The following is a 22,517-nucleotide window of genomic DNA, read 5'->3' as shown; positions in this document are numbered from 1 at the left end:
CTTGTTTTCTTTAGATGCTAGAATCTGTCGTGTTTCCTAAACTCCCCTGTCTCTGGTATTTTCCTATAGGGTCTCATTGCCTTTCCTCTCTTTCCTTGGGAGCGATTCAACTTGGCCTTGAGTAACTTACACCAATAACCCCTAGATCAAATCATACAATTCTTACCAGCCTGAACCCCGACATCCTGAGTCAGCAGTTCCACAAGCCTGTATGGAGAGAGAAAGCAGAACGTCAGCTCCATACACAGCCCCAATAGGAGCCCCTGGAGCACAGGAGCTGGGCTTGTTCACCAACACTTCCCTAAGTGCCCGGCATGGGACCTGGCTCAAAAACAATGCTGAATAAATGGATGAATGAGTCACAGTCCTAGCCCAAGTGCAAGAGCTGTTCTCAGCTTCTTCATCCTATGTCACCTTTATTGAAGACGTATTTCATACCCAGTCCTGGGCTTGATACAGGGAGTAGGTGGTTCCCTGTCATCCAGAAGCCCCAATTTTAACTGGTCAGATATCCATGAAAACCAGTCACCGTCACACATCTTGGGAAGTGCTCAGGTAAGCAGCCACTGGAGCTATAGACACAACTTTAAGCCTCACAGCACTGCAGAATGTGCGTGTTCCCTCACTTTAGACATGGGACTCAATGCAGGAAATGCCACTCAGTTAATTAGTAGCACAGCTGGGAATCAAACCCGGATCTGCCTCCTTTCAAACCTGTCCTTAGCACCTGGTGGTTCTAGAGGGAGCAGGCAGCCAGGCCCAAGTAGGCAGCCAGGCCCAGCAGGAGGAGGAGCGGGGAGGAGCCCACTTGTCCCATTTAAAGGAGGAAACCCCGAGTTACCCTGACTGAGTGTTGGCAGCTTCCCCTCCCTGCGCTGAGCAGTGCAAGGTGGGTACCAGGTCTATTGCTAAGCTCTTTAGCCGTGACTTGTGGGATTTTGGTGCACGCATCACCAGCGAAATATACATGGAACCCAATTTGTAGTCTTTCATTCCTCACCCCCTTCCCTCCCTTTCCCCGAGTCCCCAAAGTCCATTGTATCATTCTTACACCTTTGCATCCTCATAGCTTAGCTCCCACTTATGAGTGAGAACATACGATGTTTGGTTTTCCATTCCCGAGTTACTTCACTTAGAATAAGAGTCTACAATCCCATCCAGGTTGCTGTGAAAGCCATTAATTCATTCCTTTTTATGGCTGAGTAGTATTCCATCATACATATGTATATCATATATATACGTCTATATCTCTATATATATGATACATAGATATCACAATTTCTTTATCCACTTGTTCACTGATAGGCATTTGGGCTGGTTCCACATTTTTGCAATTGTGAATCATGCTGCTATAAACATGTGCGTGCAAGTATCTTTTCGAATAGTGAGTTCTTTTCCCCTGGGTAGACACCCAGTAGTGGGATTGCTGCATCAAATGGAAGTTCTACTTTTAGTTCTTTAAGGAATCTCCACACTGTTTTGCATAGTGGCTGTACTAGTTTACATTCCCACCAGCAGTGTAGAAGCATTCCCTTTTCACTGCATCCATGCTAACATCTTTTATTTTTTGATTTTTTAATTATGGCCATTCTTGTAGGAGTAAGGTGGTATCACATTGCAGTTTTGATTTCTATTTCCCTGATCATTAGTGATGTTGAGCATTTTTTCATGTTTGTTGGCCATTTATATATCTTCTTTTGAGAATTGTCTATTCATAACCTTAGCCCACTTTTTGATGGGATTGTTTGGTTTTTTTTCTTACTAATTTGTTTGAGTTCCTTGTAGATTCTGGATATTAGTCCTTTGTCAGATGCATAGTTTGTGAAGATTTTCTCCCACTTTATGGGTTATCTGTTTGCTCTGCTGACTGTTCATTTTGCTGTGCAAAAGCTCTTTAGTTTAATTAAGTCCCACCTATTTATCTTTGTATTTGTTGCATTTGTTTTTTGGGCTCTTGGTCATGAAATCTTTGCCTAAGCCAATGTCTAGAAGGGATTTTCTGATGTTATAGTCTAGAATTTTTATAGTTTTAGGTCTTAGATTTAAGTCCTTGATCCATCTTGAGTTGATTTTTATATAAGGTGAGAGATGAGGATTCAGTTTCACTCTCCTACATGTGGCTTTTCAATTATCCCAGTACCATTTGTTGAATAGGGTGTTATTTCCCCACTTTACGTTTTTGTTTGCTTTGTTGAAGGTCAGTTGGCTGTAAGCAATTGGGTTTATTACTGGGTTCTCTATTTTGTTCCATTGGTCTATATGCCTATTTTTATACCAATACCACAAAAGGGGGAGAGTACTACATCAGGGGAACACCCCGTGGGACAAAAGAATCTGAATGGCAGCCTTGAGTCCCAGAACTTCCCTCTGACATAGCCTACCCAAATGAGAAGGAACCAGAAAAACAATTCTGGTAATATGACAAAATGAGGGTTTTTTTAAAACCCCCAAAAAATCACACTAGCTCACCAGCAATGGGTCCAAACCAAGAAGAAATCCCTGACTTACTTGAAAAAGAATTCAGAAGGTCAATTATTAAGCTAATCAAGGAGGCACCAGAGAAACGTAAAGTCCAATTTAAGAAAATCAAAAAAATGACACAAGAAATGAGGGGAGAAATCTTCATTGAAACAGACAGCATAAATAAAAAACAATTGCAACTTCAGGAAACAAGGGACACACTTAGAGAAATGCAAAATGTTCTGGAAAGTCTCAGCAATAGAATCAAACAAGCAGAAGAAAGAACTTCAGAGTTTGAAGACAAGCTCTGAATCAACCCAATTCAGAATTAACTCAATTCAACAAAGACAAAGAAAAAAGATTTTTAAAAAATGAACAAAGCCTCCAAGAAGTTTGGGATTATGTAAAACAACCAAACCTAAGAATAATTTGCATTCCTGAGGAAGATGAGAAATCTAAAAGTTTGGAACACATTTTTTGGGGAAGAATCAAGGAAAACCTTCCTGGCCTTGCTAGAGATCTAGACATCCAAATACAAGAAAGAACACCTGGGAAATTCATCACATAAAGATCATCACCTAGGCACATTGTCATCAGGTTATCTAAAGTCAAGACAAAGGAAAGAATCTTAAGAGCTGTGAGGCAAAAGCACCAGGTAACCTATAAAGGAAAACCTATCAGATTAATAGCAGATTTCTCAGCAGAAACTCTATAAGCTAGAAGGGATTGGGACCCTATCTTCAGCCTCCTTAAACAAAACAATTATCAGCCAAGAATTTTGTATCCAGCAAAACTAAGCTTCATAGATGAAAGAAAGATCCAGTCTTTTTCAGACAAACAAATGCTGAGAGAATTTGCCACTACCAAGCCAGCACTGCAAGAACTGCTAAAAGGAGTTCTAAATCTTGAAACAAATCCTGGAAACACATCAAAACAGATCCTCTTTAAAGCATGAATCTCATAGGACCTATAAAACAAAAAAGCAATTAAAAGGTATACAGGCAACAAATAGCATAATGAATGGAATAATACCTCACATTTCAATACTAATGTTGAATGTAAATGGCCTAAATGTGCCACTTAAAAGATACAGAATGGCAGAATGGATAAGAATTCACCAACCAAGCATCTGCTGCCTTCAAGAAAATCACCTAACACAAAAGGACTCACATAAACTTAAAGGGGTGGAAAAAGACATTCTGTGCAAATGGACACCAAACGTGAGTAGGAGTAGTTATTCTTATATCAGACAAAACAAGCTTTAAAGCAACAGCAGTTAAAGAAGACAAAGAGGGATATTATATAATCATAAAAGGCCTTGTCCAACAGGAAAATATCACAATCCTAAATATACATGCACCTAACACTGGAGCTTCCAAATTTATAAAACAATTACTACTAGACCTAAGAAATGAGATAGCAGCAACACAATTAATAGCCGGGGACTTCAATACTCCACTGGCAGCACTAGGCAGGTCCTCAAGACAGAAGTCAACAAAAAAACAATGGATTTAAACTATACCCTGGAATGAATGGACTTAACAGATATTTACAGAACATTCTACCCCACAACCACAGAATGTACATTCTATTCCTCAGTGCATGGAACTTTCTCCAAGATAGACCATACGATAAGCCACAAAACAAGTCTCAATAAATTTAAGAAAATTGAAATTATATCAAGTACTCTCTCAGACCACAGTGGAATAAACCTGGAAGTCAGCTCCAAAAGGAACCTCCAAAACCATGCAAATACATGGAAATGAAATAACTAGCTCCTGAATGATCATTGGGTCAACAATGAAATCAAGATGGAAATTTAAAAATGCTTCAAACTGAACGATAATAGTTACACAATCTGTCAAAACCTCTGGGATACAGCAAAGGCAATGCTAAGAGGAAAGTTTATAGCCTTAAATGCCTACATCAAAAAATCTGAAAGAGCACAAATAGGCAATCTAAGGAAGGTCACATCTCAAGGAACTAGAGAAACAAGAACAAACCAAATCCAAACCCAGCAGAAGAAAGGAAATAACCAAGATCAGAGCAGAACTAAATGAAATTGAAACAACAACAACAACAAAAACCCACAAAAGATAAATGAAACAAAAAGGTGGTTTTTTGAAAAGATAAATAAAATTGATAGACCATTAACAAGATTAACCAAGAAGAGAGAAGATCAAAATAAGATCAGTTAGACGGCCAGGCACGGTGGCTCAAGCCTGTAATCCCAGCACTTTGGGAGGCCAAGGCGAGTGGGTCACGAGGTCAGGGGTTCAAGACCAGCCTGGCCAAGATGGTGAAACTCCATCTCTAACAAAAATACAAAAAATTAGCCAGGCATGGTGGTGGGCACCTGTAATCCCAGCTACTTGGGAGGCTGAGGCAGAGAATTGCTTGAACCTGGGAGGCAGAGGTTGCAGTGAGCTGAGATCATGCCACTGTGCTCCAGCCTGGGCAACGAGAGTGAAACTCCATCTCAAAAAAAAAAAAAAAATCAATTAGAAATGAAACAGGAGGTATTACAACTGACACCACAGAAAGACAAAAGATCATTTAAGGCTACTTGAACACCTTTACACGCATAAACTAGAAAGCCTAGAGGAAATGGATGAATTCCTGGAAAAATACACCCTCCTAATTTAAATCAGGAAGAATTAGATACCCTGAACAGACCAATAATAAGCAGCAAGACTGACATGGTAATAAAAAAAATTACCAGCAACAACAAAAAAGTCCAGAACCAGACAGATTCACAGCTGAATTCTACCAGACATTCAAAAAAGAAAACCAATCCTATTGATACTATTCCACAACATAGAGAAAGAGGGAATCCTCCCTAACTTATTCTATGAAGCCATTATCACCCTAATATCAAAACCAGAAAAGGACATAACCAAAAAAGAAAACTACAGACTAATATCCTTGATGAACATAGATGCAAAAATCCTTAACAAAATACTAGCTAACTGAATCCAACAGCATCTCAAAAAGATAATCCACCATGATCAAGTGGGTTTTATACCAGGGATGCAGGGATGGTTTAACATACGCAAGTCAATAAATGTGATACGTCCGGGCACAGTGGCTCATGCCTGTAATCCCAGTACTTTGGGAGGCTGAGGCAGGTGGATCACTTGAGGCCGGGAGCTTGAGACCAGCCTGACCAACATGGAGAAACCCTGTCTCTACTAAAAATACAAAATTAGCTGGACATGGTGGCACACGCCTGTAATCCCAGTTACTCAGGAGGCTGAGGCAGGAGAATCGCTTAAACCCGGGAGGCAGAGGTTGTGGTGAGCTGAGATTGCACCATTGCACTCCAGCCTGGGCAACAAGAATGAAACTCCGTCTCAAAATAAATAAATAAATAAAAATAATAAATAAATGTGATACACCACATAAATAGAATTAAAAACAAAAGTTACATGATCATCTCAATAGATGCAGAAAAAGCATTTGACAAAATCTAGCATCCTTTTATGGTTAAAACCCTTAGCAAAATCGGCATACAAGGGACATACCTCAGTGCAATAAAAGCCATCTATGACAAATCCACAGCCAACATAATACTGATTGGGGAAAAGTTGAAAGCATTCCCTCTGAGAACAGAAACAAGACAAGGATTCCCACTCTCACCACTCCTCTTCAACATAGTACTGGAAGCCCTAGCCAGAGCAATCAGACAAGAGAAAGAAATAACAGGCATCCAAATCGGTAAAGAGGAAGTCAAACTGTTGCTGTTTGCTGATGATATGATTGTATATCTAGCAAACCCTAAAGATTCCTCCAAAAAGCTCCTAGAATTGATAAATGAATTCAACAAATTTTCGGGATACAAAATTAATGTACACAAATCAGTAGCTCTGCTATACACCAAAAGTGACCAAGCTGAGAATCAAATCAAGAACTCAACTTCTTTTACAATAGCTGCAAAAAAATAAAATACTTAAGCATATACCTAACCAAGGAAGTGAAAGCCCTCTACAAGGAAAACTATAAAACATTGCTGAGAGAAATCATAGACAACACAAACAAATGGAAACACATCCCATGCTCATGGATGGGTAGAATCAACGTTGTGAAATGACCATACTGCCAAAAGCAATTTAAAAATTCAAGCCAATTCCCATCAAAATACCACCATCATTCTTCTCAGAACTAGAAAAAACAATCCTAAAATTCATATGGAACCAAAAAAGATCCCCCATAGCCAAAGCAAGACTAAACAAAAAGAACAAATATGGAGGCATCACATTACCTGAATTCAAACTATCTTATAAGGCCATAGCCATCAGTCAATACTTGTCCAGTGAAAGAGCAGATGAAGCCCTTGGAGAGGATGTGACTTTGACAACGGCTTTGATGGATGAGTGAGGGTGCACAGTGGCGGAGGAAGCTCTGAGAAGAAATGCTGCTGTCTCTGTTTTACAGGTGAGAAAACTGAGAAATGCTGAGAAATGCTGAGACTTTGCAGAGGCTATGCAGTTAGTAAGCAAAGAAGGAGAATTTTCTCCCCAGCTCCAAAATCCCTCCTCTTTGCCCCACATCCTCTGCTTTGGGAATGTTTAAGAACCTGTATAAAAATGCAGAGAATACCTGTTGTATAACTGAATCCTGGCTCCCAGACAGCTCTTTCAGGGGGTGGCAGGTGGGAAAAGACACAGAGGGAATTGCCCTGCCTCTGGCTGCCCATTGTTGCTTCCAGATTCTGGATTCTCCACCCCATGTGGAAGTTTGAGGCCCACCCGTGGTCCTGCCCTCCTCCCCGCTGCAGCATCTGACCTCCAGGCATGCCCCATCATTCCTCTCCAGACACCAGGATCTGCCTCACAGGAGACCCCATGTTGGTCCTGCCATTCCCCACATGGCCTGTCACATACCATAGACGTCTCCTCCTCTGACCCCCAGCCCTAGGGGCCCCCACTCCATGGCTTGCCTGGTCTTCCCACAGCCCAGAACTGCTCCGCTTCAGAAGCTGTGGCCTCCACCGCCCCTCCTCACCACAACACGCCCTGGACCCAGCTGGGTCCCATGAGCAACTTGTTCTCATTCCATCATGACACCTGGGTCCTTCCATGTCTCCTCTGTCTACCAGCCCACCTCCTGGCTTCATTTCCATCCCCAACTAGCCTGGAAACGGCCTCAAATCTTTTTGGAACGAAAGTGGTCAGATCAAAACTTGTAAATGGAATACAAAAATAAAATACATATTGAAACACCCTCACTGTACCCCACACATATGTACAATTATTATGCGTCAATTAAAAGTAAAAATTAAAAGGCCCAAAGAAAAGAAAATACAAGAAGCACACTTTTTTTTCCAAATGCCAACTTGAACCAGAAGGAAGCATACATGACGTGGGCCCCTGTGGTCCGTCACCCTCCTGCGAATACTGTGATTTCCCTTGAACTGATTCCTGATCTCTCCTTGCAAAGTCCCAGCCTTGGAGCTGAGCAGGGCTGGGGATGTATTCCACCCCCTTACAGACAGGGGCAGGGTGGTCTCATGGCCTGCACCTCCTCTAGGCCTTCAGCAGTGTCCAGAGATCCTTCTTTAGGCCCCAGTCAGCTGTTTCTGCCAAAATCCCTATTTCAAAGCTCCTTTCCACCACCCACTCCGCAGAACACCTTGACCTCTTTCACTGAAACAAGAGAGAAACAACACTCAGCTTCCAACGCTGCCCCTCCCTGTCTCCTCTGTATCTCTGCAGACTTAGATGACTGCCCAGGGGCAGGGAACCCTGACAGCCCACACGAATCCTTCCAGCCCTGCCTTCTCCCGCCTCTGCTTTAGGGCCTTGCTTTATCAATTACTGTAGTGGTTTAATGTATGTCCCCAAATTCTTTGACACATCTCCCTTCAAAAGAGAGACTAATTCACCCCATCTCGAGTGTGGACTTAGTGATTTGCTTTTGCCAAATAGAATAAGGTAGAAGGAATGGAGTAGAGCCTTTGTGGCTTCCTGCTTGCTCTCTCTCTAAGATCTCTCAGCCTGGGGAGCCTGGAGGTTGTGAGGATGCTCAAACAGCCCTAAGGAGAGGCCCGTGTTGTGAGAACTGAGGGCCCCAGTTAACAGCTGTGTGATCTTGGAAGGGACCCTCCAGCCCCAGTTGTGGCTTCAGATCACCATAGCTCAGCCAACATTGTGACGACAATTTTATAGTCAACAACAGATTAGGATGCAGACATGCAGAGGGAAGACTGTGTGAAGAGATGACAAGAGGACAGATGGCTGTGCCCACATCTGCAAGCCAAGGAGAGATGCCTGGTAGAACCCAACCCTGCTGACACCCTGATATTGTATTTCTAGCCTCCAGAACAGTGGAGAATATACTTTTCCATTGTTTAAGCCCCACCCCCACCCCATCCTCAGTCTGCAGTATTTGGTCATGGCAACCCAAGCAACTACTACAAACCCTATGAGGGTCCCTGGGCCGGAACCACCCAGATAAGCTGCTCTTAGATTTCTGACCCCCAAAACTTGTGTGAGATAATAAATACTTGTTATTCCAAGCTGTTAAAGTTTGGGATAACTTGTTATGCAGCAATGAGTGACTAGTATATTATCCTCCCTCACATCTTCATCCTCGTCCACTCTCCTGGTCCTTTACCCTCTGAATAGTGATAAGCTCAGGTCTTGTCTATCTTAAAAATGCATTTTCTTAGCCTCACCGTCCCCATCCAGCTTTCATACCCTCCTCCTCCTTGGGTTTTGCCCCACAGCCAAGTTGCCTGAAACAGCCACCCCATAACACTGCCTCCACCTTCTCACCTTTCATGCCTTCCTGACCATCTCACTTTGCTCCTACAAGGCTCCACTTTCCTGACTTTCCCTCTGCTTCTGGGGCACCACTAAATCTCCTCCTAGAGCTTTTTTTTTTTTTGGAGACAGAGTCTTAATCTGTTGCCCAGGCTAGAGTGCAGTTGCGTGATCCCAGCCCACTGCAACTCTGTCTCCCGGGTTCAAGGGATCCTCAGCCTCCTGAATAGCTGTGACTATGGGCATGCTCCACCATGCCTGGCTAATTTTTGTATTTTTAGTAGAGATGGGGTTTCTCCATGTTGGCCAGGCTGGTCTTGAACTCCTGGCCTCAAGTGAGCTGCCCACCTTGTCCTCTGAAAGTGCTGGGATTACAGGCATGAGCCACTGCGCCTGGCCCTTTCACTCACCTTGACCTCTTGGTGTCCAAGGGAGTGGCTGGTGACTTTTGTCTGCCCAGTATGCCTTCCTCCTATATCCTTATGGGGAACATCTCCCCTAGTTCAAATTGTGTTGCTGATGAGAAGCTCGTGAATCCTGGGACCCCAAGCGGCCATGTGGTCCAAGCCAGAGCCAATCACAGCTTTTTCTGGGATGTTCTGAGTGGGAGCTGAGGGTTGGTTTTCTTCTCTAATGCCAAAATTATGAAATACAATGCCAAAAGTACCAGGAGCTATGGTCCTAGCTTCTTAAAAATAGCTGATCTGAGAGAATAAAATTGGCAGATGTGGAGGGAAGGAGACAAAACACAGAAATCCTGTCTCTGCCTTTTTGCAGTTTGATTATTTGGGGTAAGCCATTTGGATGGCTTAATTCCCACTGATCTGCCAGCCCTTGTTCTATTCTCTTTCAGCCTGCACACTCCCCTTATGTGTGCCCACTCTCTCAGGGCCACCAGGATCATAGCCCTGCTGAGTCCCAAATTAGCGTCTCCAACTCTCATCCCTACCCTGATCTCCAGACCCACCAAGGCCCCTCTCCCTGGACATGTCCCTCAGATATGCCATGGGCACATCAAATTCAAAGTGACCATAGCACCTCATCTCCTCGATCCCCAAACCTGCTTCTGCCCCTGCATTCTTTATCTCAGCAAATGAAACTAACAATTGCTGAAAGAAACACCGAGTCTTCTATTCTTCACAGCCAAATGATCCCTAGGACCTGGAGATTTTGTCTTTTAAAAACTTGAGGCTCCCAATTATATGTTGTCCACAAGAAACCTATGTTAAATGTGAAGACTACCTATTGAGTGCCACGCTCACTACCTGGGTGACGGGATCATTTCTACCTCAGCATCACGCAATGTATCCACGTAACGAACCTGTACATGTACTCCCTAATAAAAATACCAGTTGAAATTATTTTTTAAAGACATAGATAAATTAAAAGTAAAGTGTTGGAGAAATGGTTAAAAGAAAGGGTTGGGTTAGTATTAGGTTGCTTATACTAATCAAAATAGAGCTAGATACATCAGTGTTTTGTATAAGAAAGAAAGAGAGAAAGAAAGAAAGAAAGAAAGGAAGGAAGGAAGGAAGAAAGAAGAAAGAAAGAGAGAAAGAAGAGAGAGTTGGAGTAGCTATACTAGTTTTAGAGCAGACTTCAGGGCAAGGAATATTATGAGGAATAAAGAGAAATATTACATAATGATAAAGGGATAAATTTATCAAAGAAGACATGACAATTATTAACATGTACGCACCTGCCAAGAAAGTGTCAAAATACACGCAAAGTATGTTCTCTGACCACAATGGAATTAAACTAGAAATCAATAACAGAAAGATAACTGGAAAAGCCCAAAATGTTTAGAGATTAAGAAACATATTTCTAAATAACACATGGGTCAGGTAAGTCCGAAGAAAAATGTAAAATTAAATGAAAATGAAAATATCACATCGAAATTTGTGGAATCCAATGAAACAAGTACTGAAGGGAAATTTATAGTGCTGAATGCATAGTTAAAAAATCTAGAGGCCGGGCGTGGTAGCTCATGCCTGTAACCCCAGCACTTTGGGAGGCCGAGGCGGGTGGATCACGAGGTCAGGAGTTCGAGACCAGCCTGACCAACATGGTGAAACCCCGTCTCTACTAAAAATAGAAAAAGCTGCTAGGCTTGGTGGCACGCACCTGTAATCCCAGCTACTCAGGAGGCTGAGGCAGGAGAATCGCTTGAACCTGGGAGGCAGAGGTGGCAGTGAGTTGAGATCCGCCACTGCACTCCAGCCTGGGTGACAGAGTGAGACTCCATCTCAAAAAAAAAAAAAAAGAAAAATCTAAAATCAATAATCTAAGCTTCCACCTTAGGAAACTAGAGAAAGAAGAAGAATATCATCCTAAAGTAAGAAGAAAATAAAAAATAAAAATTAGAACAGAAATCAATGACATTGGAAACAGGAAATAAAAAGAGAAAATTCAATGAAACAAAAAACTGGTTCTTTGCAAACATCAGTAAAATTGATAAACTTCTGTCAGGCTAACCAAGAAAAGCAAAGAGAAGACACAAATTAACTACTATTGGAAATGAAAGAGGAGACATCACTCTGATCCCACGGACATTAAAAGGATAGTAAAGACATATTATGAACAACACATTCGGTAACTTAGATGAAATGGACAAATTCCTTGAAAAATGAAAACTACCAAAACTCAAGCAAAGAGAAATAGATAATCTGAAAATCCTGTATCTATTAGAGAAACTGAATCAATGATTGGCAACCTTTCAAAAAAGGAAGCACCAGGTGTGGATGGTTTCACTGGTAATTCTACCAAGCATTTAAGGAAGAAATGAGCCTAATTCTCCATAGTATCTTCCAGGAAACAGAAGCAGAGGAAATACTTTCTAACTCGTTCTATGAGGCCAGCGTTACTCTAATGCCAAAATGAGATAAAGACATTAAAAGGAAGAAAAAACTTGAGGCACTCTCCTTCCTGCCACCCCTTAGTCTCCTGTCATCCTTCACTTGGGAGGTTGGAAGCATCCCAGGTGGCCTTGCTGCTGCTGGACTCTCAGAACAATCATCCTCCATCACACCAATCAAGTGATCTTTAGAAGATGCAAAAGTTGACCGTGTCATGCCTCCCACAGCTAAGAATGTGCCATATCTTTATGACACTCAAGGATCTTCAGCATCATAGCCTGCCTACCTTTTCAGCCCACCTTGTATCTTACCTCTTCCCCCCAGGGTACACTGAATATCATGCAGTTCCTGAAACACCCCATGTTCTCTTTTACCTCAGTGTGTCTGTACTTGATCTGATATGAATTTGGAGCACACACACAAGCACGTGTGTTACCATACATGCATGCATGTACACACACACAGGCACAGACATCCTCACATGCAGAGGCTGCGATTTTCAACCTCAGCATTTATCCCTGTTTTTATGTGTTACAGTGTGTGTCTCTCCCACACCTGTGAGAAATTTGAGAGCTGGATAGTGACTTACTCATACTAGTCAGGGCTCAGGACATGCTTGCTGAGTAAATGGATGGATGAGTGGACAGATGAATGGGATGAGTGGATGGATGAGTCGGTAGGTGGAAGGGTGGGCTGATGGACGGGTGGATAGGTAAATGGATGGATGGGTTGGTGGATGGATAGGTAGATGGATGAATAGATGGATGGATTAGTGAATGAATAGGTGGATGTATGGGTAGTTGGATGGATGTGTAAGTGGATGGATGGATCCACTGATGGGTTGATGGATGGATAGATTGGTGGATGGATGGATGGATGAGTCGATTAGTGGTTGAATGAGTGGGTGAATGGGTGGGTGGGTGGATAGATGGATGGTGGATGGATTAATGGTTGGATTGGGTAAGTGAATGGGTGGATAGATTGGTGGGTGAATAGGTGAATGAACAAACAGATGAATGGATTGATGGATGGATGGATGGATGGATGGATGGATGGATGGATGGACCTACCCAGGAAAGCAGGTGAGGCATTGCCCCTTACAGGAAGCACTGGTGTGCTTAAAATTTTCTGCCCCTTGGGAATGGGATGACTTCTTAGTCCAGTTCCTTTTGTTAAGCCCTGAGGCAGGTCAGTGTGGCTGAGCTTACGGGGATCAGTGTCCTACCTAATCTCAGGGACCAGAATGAGGGTTACCTTCACCTGAGAAGAGAAGGGTAAACTGCTAGTTCTCAAAGCCCTCCTCAAAGCTGCTGTGGGTCTGAAGCCACACCACTAACATTTCTGTGGTGCCACTGAACTGGAGTATGGGTAGAGTGGGTAAGAATATGCTGAAAGGCAAGTGGGGAGGTGGAGGTGCAGGGAAGATCAAAGCATTGCTGGACCAGGACAGGGCTGGAGTGGGCAAGCAGCTGAGTGCCAGGTTGTGTGCAGGGCACTTTCCACAGGTTCTCTCATTTGAGCCCCACAGCAACCCTGTGCTGTCCATGGAGACATCCCACTTCACAGATCAGGAACCAGGGGTCCAAGAAGCAAAGCTAACATTGAGACTCTGGCCTATGGGATACCAGCCCGGAAGGGGCACTGACAAAGCTTTGCCCTCCAAAGGGGTCTGAGTGTTCTTTGGGCAGAAAGGGCATCTGGGGCTGGGTGAGGGATGAGTAAGACTTGGAAGTTCTCCTATGCCACCAGCTGACTGCCTATTCCCTGCTCCCCAGAGCTGAGAGTACCTGGCATGGAAGCCATCACTCAAGAAGAACACAGGTTGGAAGGGCCACCACCCAAAGGAGGCAAAGTCACCAGAGTCTAGATCCGGGCCAAACACCCTGAATTTGGGGCTAGCCCAGGCTGGTCAGTGGGCCCCAGTTGGACCCCAGAAAGGTCACTATAAATGGTCAGCCTTGGGGAGAGGGCCTGCCAGGGTCCAAGGATTCACAGGCTGAGTTGTCCTGGTATCATTACAAGAGCAGCACTTACTGGGCGTTCACCGGGCCAACAGCTCCACATACAATGCCCCTTCCATTGCACAATAAGCCCGTGAGGCACATATGATTATTTCCCATACTCATCCATATTTGGAAAAACTGAGCCTTGGCATTAGTGGTGACAGGGCTGTGGCAGAGCCTGTGCACCCATCCACCAGGCCAGACAAGGCCCTGGGCAGGAGGAGAGGAAAAGAAAGGGGAACTGCTCCCAGCAGAGCCTCGTTCTATGCTGTCGGGCTGTGCTTCACCCAAGTTATTTCATTTTCCCCGACTTGTCTCTCAGAGAGTTGAGGCTGCTCGAGGCTAGGTAACTTCCCAATGTCCCCCAACTGAAGGGTCTGATCTCATCCCAGCATGCGGCTGCTCACCCAGGATGGGAGCCTGAGGAAGGAGGGGGCCCCTGGGCAGCACAGTGGGCCCACCCAGGAGGCCCGCTGCTGTGTGTGGCCTCAGATGACCCTGCCTGCCCATGCACTGTGGTAAAGGGTAAACTGGTGCCACCATTTGTAGAAGACAATTTGATAACATCTATCAAAAATTTAAACACCTTTTGTCTACACAATCCCACTATTAGCAACATACCCTGCAAATATACTTGTAAAAGTTCATCAAGGTAGATGTACAGGCATTGATGGTAATAGCAAAAAATGGAAACAAACAAAAACTCAACAAACCACCAATTGTCCAACAACAGAGGTCTGCTGGATTCAGGTTCAACCTTTGGGTAGAATACCACACAGCTCTTTAAAAAGCATGGTTAGGGCCGGGTGCGGTGGCTCACACCTGTAATCCCAGCACTTTGGGAGGTCGAGGCGGGCGGATCATGAGGTCAGGAGATCGAGACCATCCTGGCTAACACAGTGAAACCCCATCTCTACTAAAAATACAAAAAAATTAGCCAGACGTGGCCGGGCGCGGTGTCTCATGCCTGTAATCCCAGTACTTTGGGAGGCCGAGGCGGGTGGATCACGAGGTCAGGAGATCGAGACCATCCTGGCTAATACGGTGAAACCCCGTCTCTACTAAAAATACAAAAAATTAGCTGGGCGTGGTAGCAGGCGCCTGTAGTCCCAGCTACTCGGGAGGCTGAGGCAGGAGAATGGCGTAAACCCAGGAGGCGGAGCTTGCAGTGAGCCGAGATAGCGCCACTGCACTCCAGCCTGGGCGAAAGAGCGAGACTCCACCTCAAAAAAAAAAAAAAAAAAAAAAATTAGCCAGACGTGGTGGCACACCCCTGTAATCCCAGCTACTTGGAAGGCTGAGGCAGGAGAATCACTTGAACCTGGGAGGCAGAGGTTGCAGCAAGCCAAGATCGTGCCATTGCACTCCAGCCTGGGTGACAGAGTGAGACTCCGTCTCAAAAAAAGAAAAAGTGTAGTTAGGTTGAACTATATGAAAGTGTCCTTTTTCTAAGTGAAGAAGGTCACATATTGGCAGTTTCAAATGATTCAATCTAATATATGTGTTGATATATGAGTATGTAATAAAAATAATATATGTTTTATAGTATAATGTTATTTTTATTTAAAAATATAGGAGATATTAGTTGGACATGGTGGTGAGCACCTGTGGTCCCAGCTACTTGAGAGGCTGAGGTGGGAGGATCACTTAAGTCTGGGAGTTCGAGGCTGTAGTGAGCTATGATTGCATCACTGCACTTCAGCCTGGGTGACAGAGCAAGACTCCATCACTAAAATATTATAAATAAAAATAAAGGCCAGTTGGGGTGGCTCTAGCCTGTAATCCCAGCACTTTGGGAGGCCGAGGCAGGCAGATCACGAGGTCAGGAGAGGCAGGCAGATCACGAGGTCAGGAGATCCAGACCATCCTGGCTAACACGGTGAAACCCTGTCTCTACTAAAAATACAAAAAAATGAGCCGGGTGTGGTGGCAGGTGCCTGTAGTCCCAGCTATTTGGGAGGCTGAGGCAGGAGAATGGCGTGAACCCGGCAGGGGGAGCTTGCGGTGAGGCAAGATCGCGCCACTGCACTCCAGCCTGGGTGACACAGCGAGACTCGGTCTCAAAAAAAAAATATATATATATATGGAGAGAGAGAAACAGAGAGAGAGAGGATATATATATACATATATAGAGAAAGAGAGTGATGGAGAGAAATACTCTGGGGAGGTAATTATATTGAACTGTTAACTGTAATTTATTGGGGTGGAGAGTGGAAGGAGGGAAGAGACTTTTACTTCACACATGGCTCCTTTCTGTCCTGTCTGGCTTTTCCTTTGTGGGGAAAAGAAAGAGAGATCAGACTGTTACTGTGTCTATGTAGAAAGAAGTAGACATAAGAGACTCCATTTTGTTCTGTACTAAGAAAAATTCTTCTACCTTGAGATGCTGTTAATCTGTAACCCTAGCCCCAACCCTGTGCTCGCAGAAACATGTGCTGTGTTGACTCAAGGTTTAATGGATTTACGGCTGTGCAGGATGTGCTTTGTTAAAAAAAAAAAGTGCTTGAAGGCCGTATGCCTGTTAAAAGTCACCACCATTCTCTAATCTCAAGTACCCAGGGACACAATACACTGTGGAAGTCAGCAGAGACCTCTGCCTAGGAAAGCCAGGTACTATCCAAGATTTCTCCCCATGTGATAGCCTGAGATATGGCCTCGTGGGAAGGGAAAGACCTGATCATCCCCCAGCCCGACACCCGTAAAGGGTCTGTGCTGAGGAGGATTAGTAAAAGAGGAACGCCTCTTTGCAGTTGAGATAAGAGGAAGGCATCTGTCTCCTGCTCGTCCCTGGGAATAGAATGTCTTGGTGTAAAACACGATTGTATGTTCTATTTACTGAGATAGGAGAAAACCGCCTTAGGGCTGGAGGTGAGACATGCTAGCAGCAATACTGCACTTTAACTCACTGAGATGTTTGTGTATGTGCACATTAAAGCACAGCACCTTTTCTTAAACTTATTTATGACACAGAGATCTTTGTTCACATGTTTTCCTGCCTACCTTCTCCCCATTATTACCCTATTGTCCTGCCACATCCCCTTCTCTGAGATGGTGATAGAGATAATGATCAATAAATACTGAGGGAACTCAGAGACCAGTGCCAGTGTGGGTCCTCCATATGCTGAGCACCGGTCCCCTGGGCCCACTTTTCTTTCTCTATACTTTGTCTCTGTGTCTCTTTCTTTTCTCAGTCTCTCATTCCACCTGACGAGAAGCACCCACAGGTGTGGAGGGGCTGGCCACCCCTTCATCCTTATCCATAGTATGCATTTGTTACTTATTTTACTGTCAACAGGGGTTGTCTGGGATATCTGAGCTTCCATCCCCGCCCAGACAGTGATGACCATCTGCACAGCCTCACTGCCAAGCTCAGTGGGGAGCCAGCCATGGGAGGGCCCAACAGAAAGGGCCCCCACACAGCTGCCAGGGAGCAACAGGAAGAGCTGAAAGTGGCGGCAGCCCCACTCTCAGTGGTGCTGGGGTTGTCAGTGCACACCAGAGAAAAAGGGTCCTGAGTCTAGATTTCAAGTTCCCTCCATTGCCCTGCTCCAGCCTGTCTCCACAGCCCAGGGCTCCCCATGAAGAAGGGTATGCCCCTCTTCTGGAAGGGAGTCTAACACCCACAGGACAGCTCAGCATTCAGGGTAATGTCCAAGAGATACCCTTCCCATGAATAGCATGTGACTGACAGTGCCGGAGATATATGTCCCTGCGAGATGTTCTCTGGCCTAGAGATGCAGTGCTCCTGGATCACCATGAGGGCTCCCTCCTCTTCTGCCCAGGCAAGCCCAGGGTAAGAATGAGAAGTTACAGTCCTCCATCCTGTCTTCTCCCAGTGGGCACAGGGCCCAGCCAACCCACTGCCAAAAATCCGACAACATGACACAATTTGGCTAGAGAAATCCAGCTTCCTTAGGAGGCAGTCAGCGACGGCAAGGCAGCCCCGGGGAAGAGACCCTGCTCTTGGAGAGCCTGGTGCAGCCCCTCCTGGGGAAGTCAGCGAAGGCAGGGTGCCCTGGAGAAGAACCTCTTCTAGGAGAATCTCTCCTCCCAGAAGGGCTCTGCTCCCTATCAGAGGGGAAATATGGGGCTGGGGATTTGGCAAAGACCCTGCCTATCCTCTGCAACATCACAAGATGAGCAAATTTGACCAAGTTTATCCCTCCCCACCATGTACACACACTTGACACACACAACTAGGTTCAGGTGCCATATGGCTCCCGTGTAGGTATGGGCAAGTGTCGGCCTATTTAGCTTCTAGTCCAGCCTGCAGTTTTAGACCTGGTTCAACTGTTTCCTTCAGACTCATTGATGCTATTCCTCTCAATCAGAACTGAAGTCTGACACCCTCTGCTACCAGTGGATCCTGTACAGCACTTTGTAGTGACGTTCACTGCTTTGCACTAAAATGCTTGGTTTACACTTATTCAGAGGCAGTTCATCCTAAGCTGCACTTTTATGCTATGCTGTCGGCCTATCTGGAGACAGCATAGGAGAGACAGCCCTCGAGATGCCTCCTTCACTGTGGAGACAGCATCAAGAAGATGACATTCACTGTGGGGACAGCCCTGGAGAAGCCCCCATCACTGTGGAGACAGCCCTGGAGATGCCCCCTTCACCGTGGAGACAGCCACAGAGATGCCTCCTTCACCATGGAGATGGCTCAGAGAAGCTCCCTTCACTGTGGAGACAGCCCAGCAGACGCTCCCTTCACTGTGGAGACAGCCCAGCAGATGCTGCCTTCACTGTGGAGAGATAGCCTGGAGATGATGTCATTCACAGTAGAGAGAGATATCCCACATTATAGATATGAACAATGAAAATCCCTCCATCATTTTAGAGCTAGCACCTGAGAAAACTTCCTAAGCTGTAGAGATAGCCTGTGAGAAACCCCCTTTCCTATACAGAGATAACCCTTGAGAAATTATTCTTCATTAGAGAGACAGCCCTTGAAACACCGTCCTTCATGTAGACGTAGCTCCACAGAAGCCCCTGTTCACTGTATCAGTGCCTTTTCAAAAACCCTCCCTCATTTTAGAGGTAGGCCATGAGAAACTTTCCTCTACTGTAGAGATAGCCTTTGAAAACCCTCATTCATTTGTGGGATGGTCCTTGAGAAATCCTGCTTTATTCTAGAGCTATCCCTTGAGAAGCCCCACTTCATGAGATAGAGCAAAAGCCCATTGGATGCCCCCCTTCATTCCAGAAAAAGCCCTTGAGGAACACTTTTTCACCGCTGGTGGGAATGTAGACTAGCACAACCACTATGGAAAACAGTAGGGATATTCCTTAAAGAACTACAATTAAACCTACCGTTAGATCCAGCAATAAGATAAGTCATTATATGAAAAAGACACTTGCGGCTGGGCGCGGTGGCTCACGCCTGTAATCCCAACACTCTGGGAGGCCGAGGCGGGTGGATCACCTGAGGTCAGGAGTTCGAGACCAGCCTGGCCAACATGGTGAAACCCTGTCTCTACTAAAAATACAAAAATTAGTTGGGTGTGGTGGCGGGCATCTATAATCCCAGCTACTCGGGAGGCTGAGACAGGAGAATCATTTGAATCCGGGAGGCGGAGATTGCAGTGAGCCGAGATCACGCCATTGCACTCCAACCTGGGTGACAGGGCGAGACTCCATCTCAAAAAAAAAAAATAAAACCAGAAAAAGACAATTGCACGTGCATGTTTATAAGAGCACAATCCACAATTGCAAAGATATGGAACCAACCTAAGTGTCCATCAACTCATGAGTGGATAAAGAAAATGTGGTATACGTACACCATGGAATACTACTCAGCCATAAAAGGCAATGAAATAATGTCTTGGGCAGCTACTTGGATGGAGCTGGAGGCCATTATTCTAAGTGAAGTAACTCAGAAATGGAAAACCAAATATCGTATGTTCTCACTTATAAATGGGAGCTAAGCTATGAGGCTGCAAAGGCGTAAGAACGATACAATGGACTTTGGGGACTTTCGGGGGAAGGCTGGAGCTGGGTGAGCAACAAAAGACTACACATTGGGTGCAGTGTACACTGCTGTGGTGATAGGTGCAAAAAAATCTCACAAATCACCACTGAAGAACTTATCCATGTAACCAAAAAACACCTGTACCTTAAAAACTATGGAGTTTTTTTTTTTAAAAGAAATAGCCCTCAAGGAAGTCCTTATTCATTCCTTTTTATGATAGTCCTTGAGAAGCCCCCTTCATGCTGAGATAGCCCGTGAGGTGCCCTCCCTCATGTAGAGATAGTCCCTGAGAAATCTTCCTTCCTTTTCTACAAATAGCTCTTTAAAAACTCTCCTGAATTTCCTGTTATAGCCAATGTCGTTTTCTCCCTTTTTATCCCCTTCATGACATTGCAACAGGAAAGCTGGTCTTCCCCTTGGAAACTGGCTTTTGCCTAACTTGAGAACATTATTAATCTTTACTGCATAGTTTTGTGCGTGACTATCTGGAAGTTCAGAACAAATTTTGTGTCTATGCCTAGCAAATATATGGGATTTTCTGATGTACATTTTGTTTACTAACATTTTCCCAGCTGCAGTGTATTTTCCTACCTTCATTTATCCTACGTCCCAGCTTATTTTATTTTTGATTCTGTTGTATTATAGGTATACTGTAAGCTGCCTCATATCACTCTGTTTTGTTTAGTATTTGAATAAGGCAGGCAAGGGATGAAAGAGAAATTGACAGATACATATACTTGTGCATGAACCACTGCCCTGTGGTTCCTTTTCATACCCTCAGTACTCTGCCCCCAGCCCCCAGAACAGAGTAGGAGCTCAGACAGACACTGTGCTGAAAGTTTTCCAGCACCTGCTCATTAGTTTGATCTGTAAAACAACCCTGCAAGGTAAGTGATGCTACTCCATTTGATAGAAGAGGGAACTGAGGCTTAAGGCCCCACATTTGGTAGGTGACTGAGTCAAGATTTCTTGACTCAAGATTTCTGCAGAGCCTGGTGCAGTGGCTCACGCCTGTAATCCCAGCACTTTGGGAGGCTGAGGAAGGTGAATCACATGAGGTCAGGATTTCAAGACCAGCCTGGTCAACATGGTGAAACCCCATCTCTACAAAAATACAAAAATTAGCCGGGCGTGGTGGTGTGCGCCTGTAATCCCAGCTACTCGGGAGGCTGAGGGGGAAGAATTGCTTGAACCTGGGAGGTGGAGGTTGCAGTGAGCCGAGATCATGCCATTGCCCTCCAGCCTGGGCAACAGAGCCAGACTCCATCTCAAAAAAAAAAAAAGAAAGAAACAAGATTTGAATCTGCAAATGTTTGGCTCCAAAGCGTTTGCTTATTCCACTTCACCTCTCTCTTAACCTGATGAGCAAGACCCTCTAGGTTGCACTGTCCGATATGGTAGCCACTAGCCACATGTGGCTATTTAAATTTAAATGAGCTGAATTAAAAATTCAGACCCTCAGTTGCACTAGCCACACTTCAAGTGCTCAACAGCCACTTGTGGCTAGTGGCTACTGTTTTGGACAGTGCAGAAGAGAACATTTCTATCATCATGGAACGTTCTAGAGCATATCTTACCACCCCCCTCAACCGTATTTCATCCCTGCCAGGCGCCAACAGTGCCCAAGCCTTACTGGTACTTCCTTTGCTCTGTATCTTTGCAGCTACCACTTCCTCCACCTGGAACATCCCCCGTTCCCCACCCTCATCCTCACACCATCCTCCCCTCACAGCCTGCTGCATCCCTTCCCACCCCTACCTGTCCTCAGCCCCAGGACCGCCTCCTCTGACCACTCAATGCCGGAGGTCTGTGCCTCTGGTGTACATGGGTCACTTTTCCTTCGCAGCCTCGCCTCCCCAGCTGGCAGTGAAGGAACACACTACACACTGCTGGAAAGGCAGACAACAGAGTCTACAATGACACTGGATTTGAAAACTTGACTTCATCCTGAGCTCGTCTTCTGCCGCTAGCTACTCCATTCATTCATTCAGCATGTGCCAAGTGTCCATTCTCTGCTGAGGCCTGGGCATGTGCAGGAGATGGAAAAACCCCAGAGAAACCCAGCCCAGGCTCTCGAGGAGCTCATAGTCCAGTGGCCTTGGTCAAATCCTTCCTTCTCCTCCTCCTCCTTCTCCTTCTCCTCCCCCTCCTCCTCCTCCTCTTCTTCTTCCTCCTCCTCCTATTCCTTCTTCTTATTCTTCTATAGAGATGGAGTCTCCCCATGTTGTGGGCTCAAGCAATCCTCCCACCTCGGCCTCCCAAAGTGCTGGGATTACAGGCATGAGCCACCACCATGCCCAGTCTCCTTTACCCTTCTTCATCTCTTCTGTGAAAAATGTGCTAAGATTCTGGCTCTTCCTCCCTGAACAGCTTGGTATGTGGACCAAGAATGGGCACACAAACATCATTTAAATACATGTGTTAAGTAAAATGTATGGAGGCCATTGGTTTTGTCTGAGCTCCT

General features: G+C 45.0%; 1 protein-coding gene across 9 annotated transcripts in view, besides 1 other annotated feature; it reads right to left on the bottom strand.

The window, feature by feature from the left end:
* Positions 1–22,517, bottom strand: part of MYO7B (myosin VIIB) — a 102,044-nt gene that overhangs the window by 77,820 nt on the left and 1,707 nt on the right. For all 9 annotated transcript variants that reach the window (XR_001738748.2, XM_047444437.1, XM_011511218.3 and 6 more), the window contains exon 2: positions 167–207. Coding sequence is in view for 8 of the 9 variants with exons in the window: in XM_047444437.1 (XP_047300393.1) it covers positions 167–184 (18 nt within the window). In the remaining variant the exon portion in view is untranslated. The remainder of the gene's footprint in view (positions 1–166; positions 208–22,517) is intronic.
* Positions 13,897–14,397: an enhancer, noted in NCBI's record as "H3K27ac hESC enhancer chr2:128303085-128303585 (GRCh37/hg19 assembly coordinates)". NCBI's record gives its function as "activates a minimal SCP1, AML or CMV promoter by ChIP-STARR-seq in naive H9 embryonic stem cells {active_cell/tissue: H9 hESC(naive)}" and the evidence as "EXISTENCE:reporter gene assay evidence [ECO:0000049][PMID:30033119]".

Source organism: Homo sapiens, chromosome 2 (genome assembly GCF_000001405.40).
Source record: "Homo sapiens chromosome 2, GRCh38.p14 Primary Assembly".
NCBI lineage: Eukaryota > Metazoa > Chordata > Mammalia > Primates > Hominidae > Homo > Homo sapiens.
Note: the sequence above shows the minus strand (reverse complement) of the source record. Positions and strands in the feature narration are given on the sequence as shown.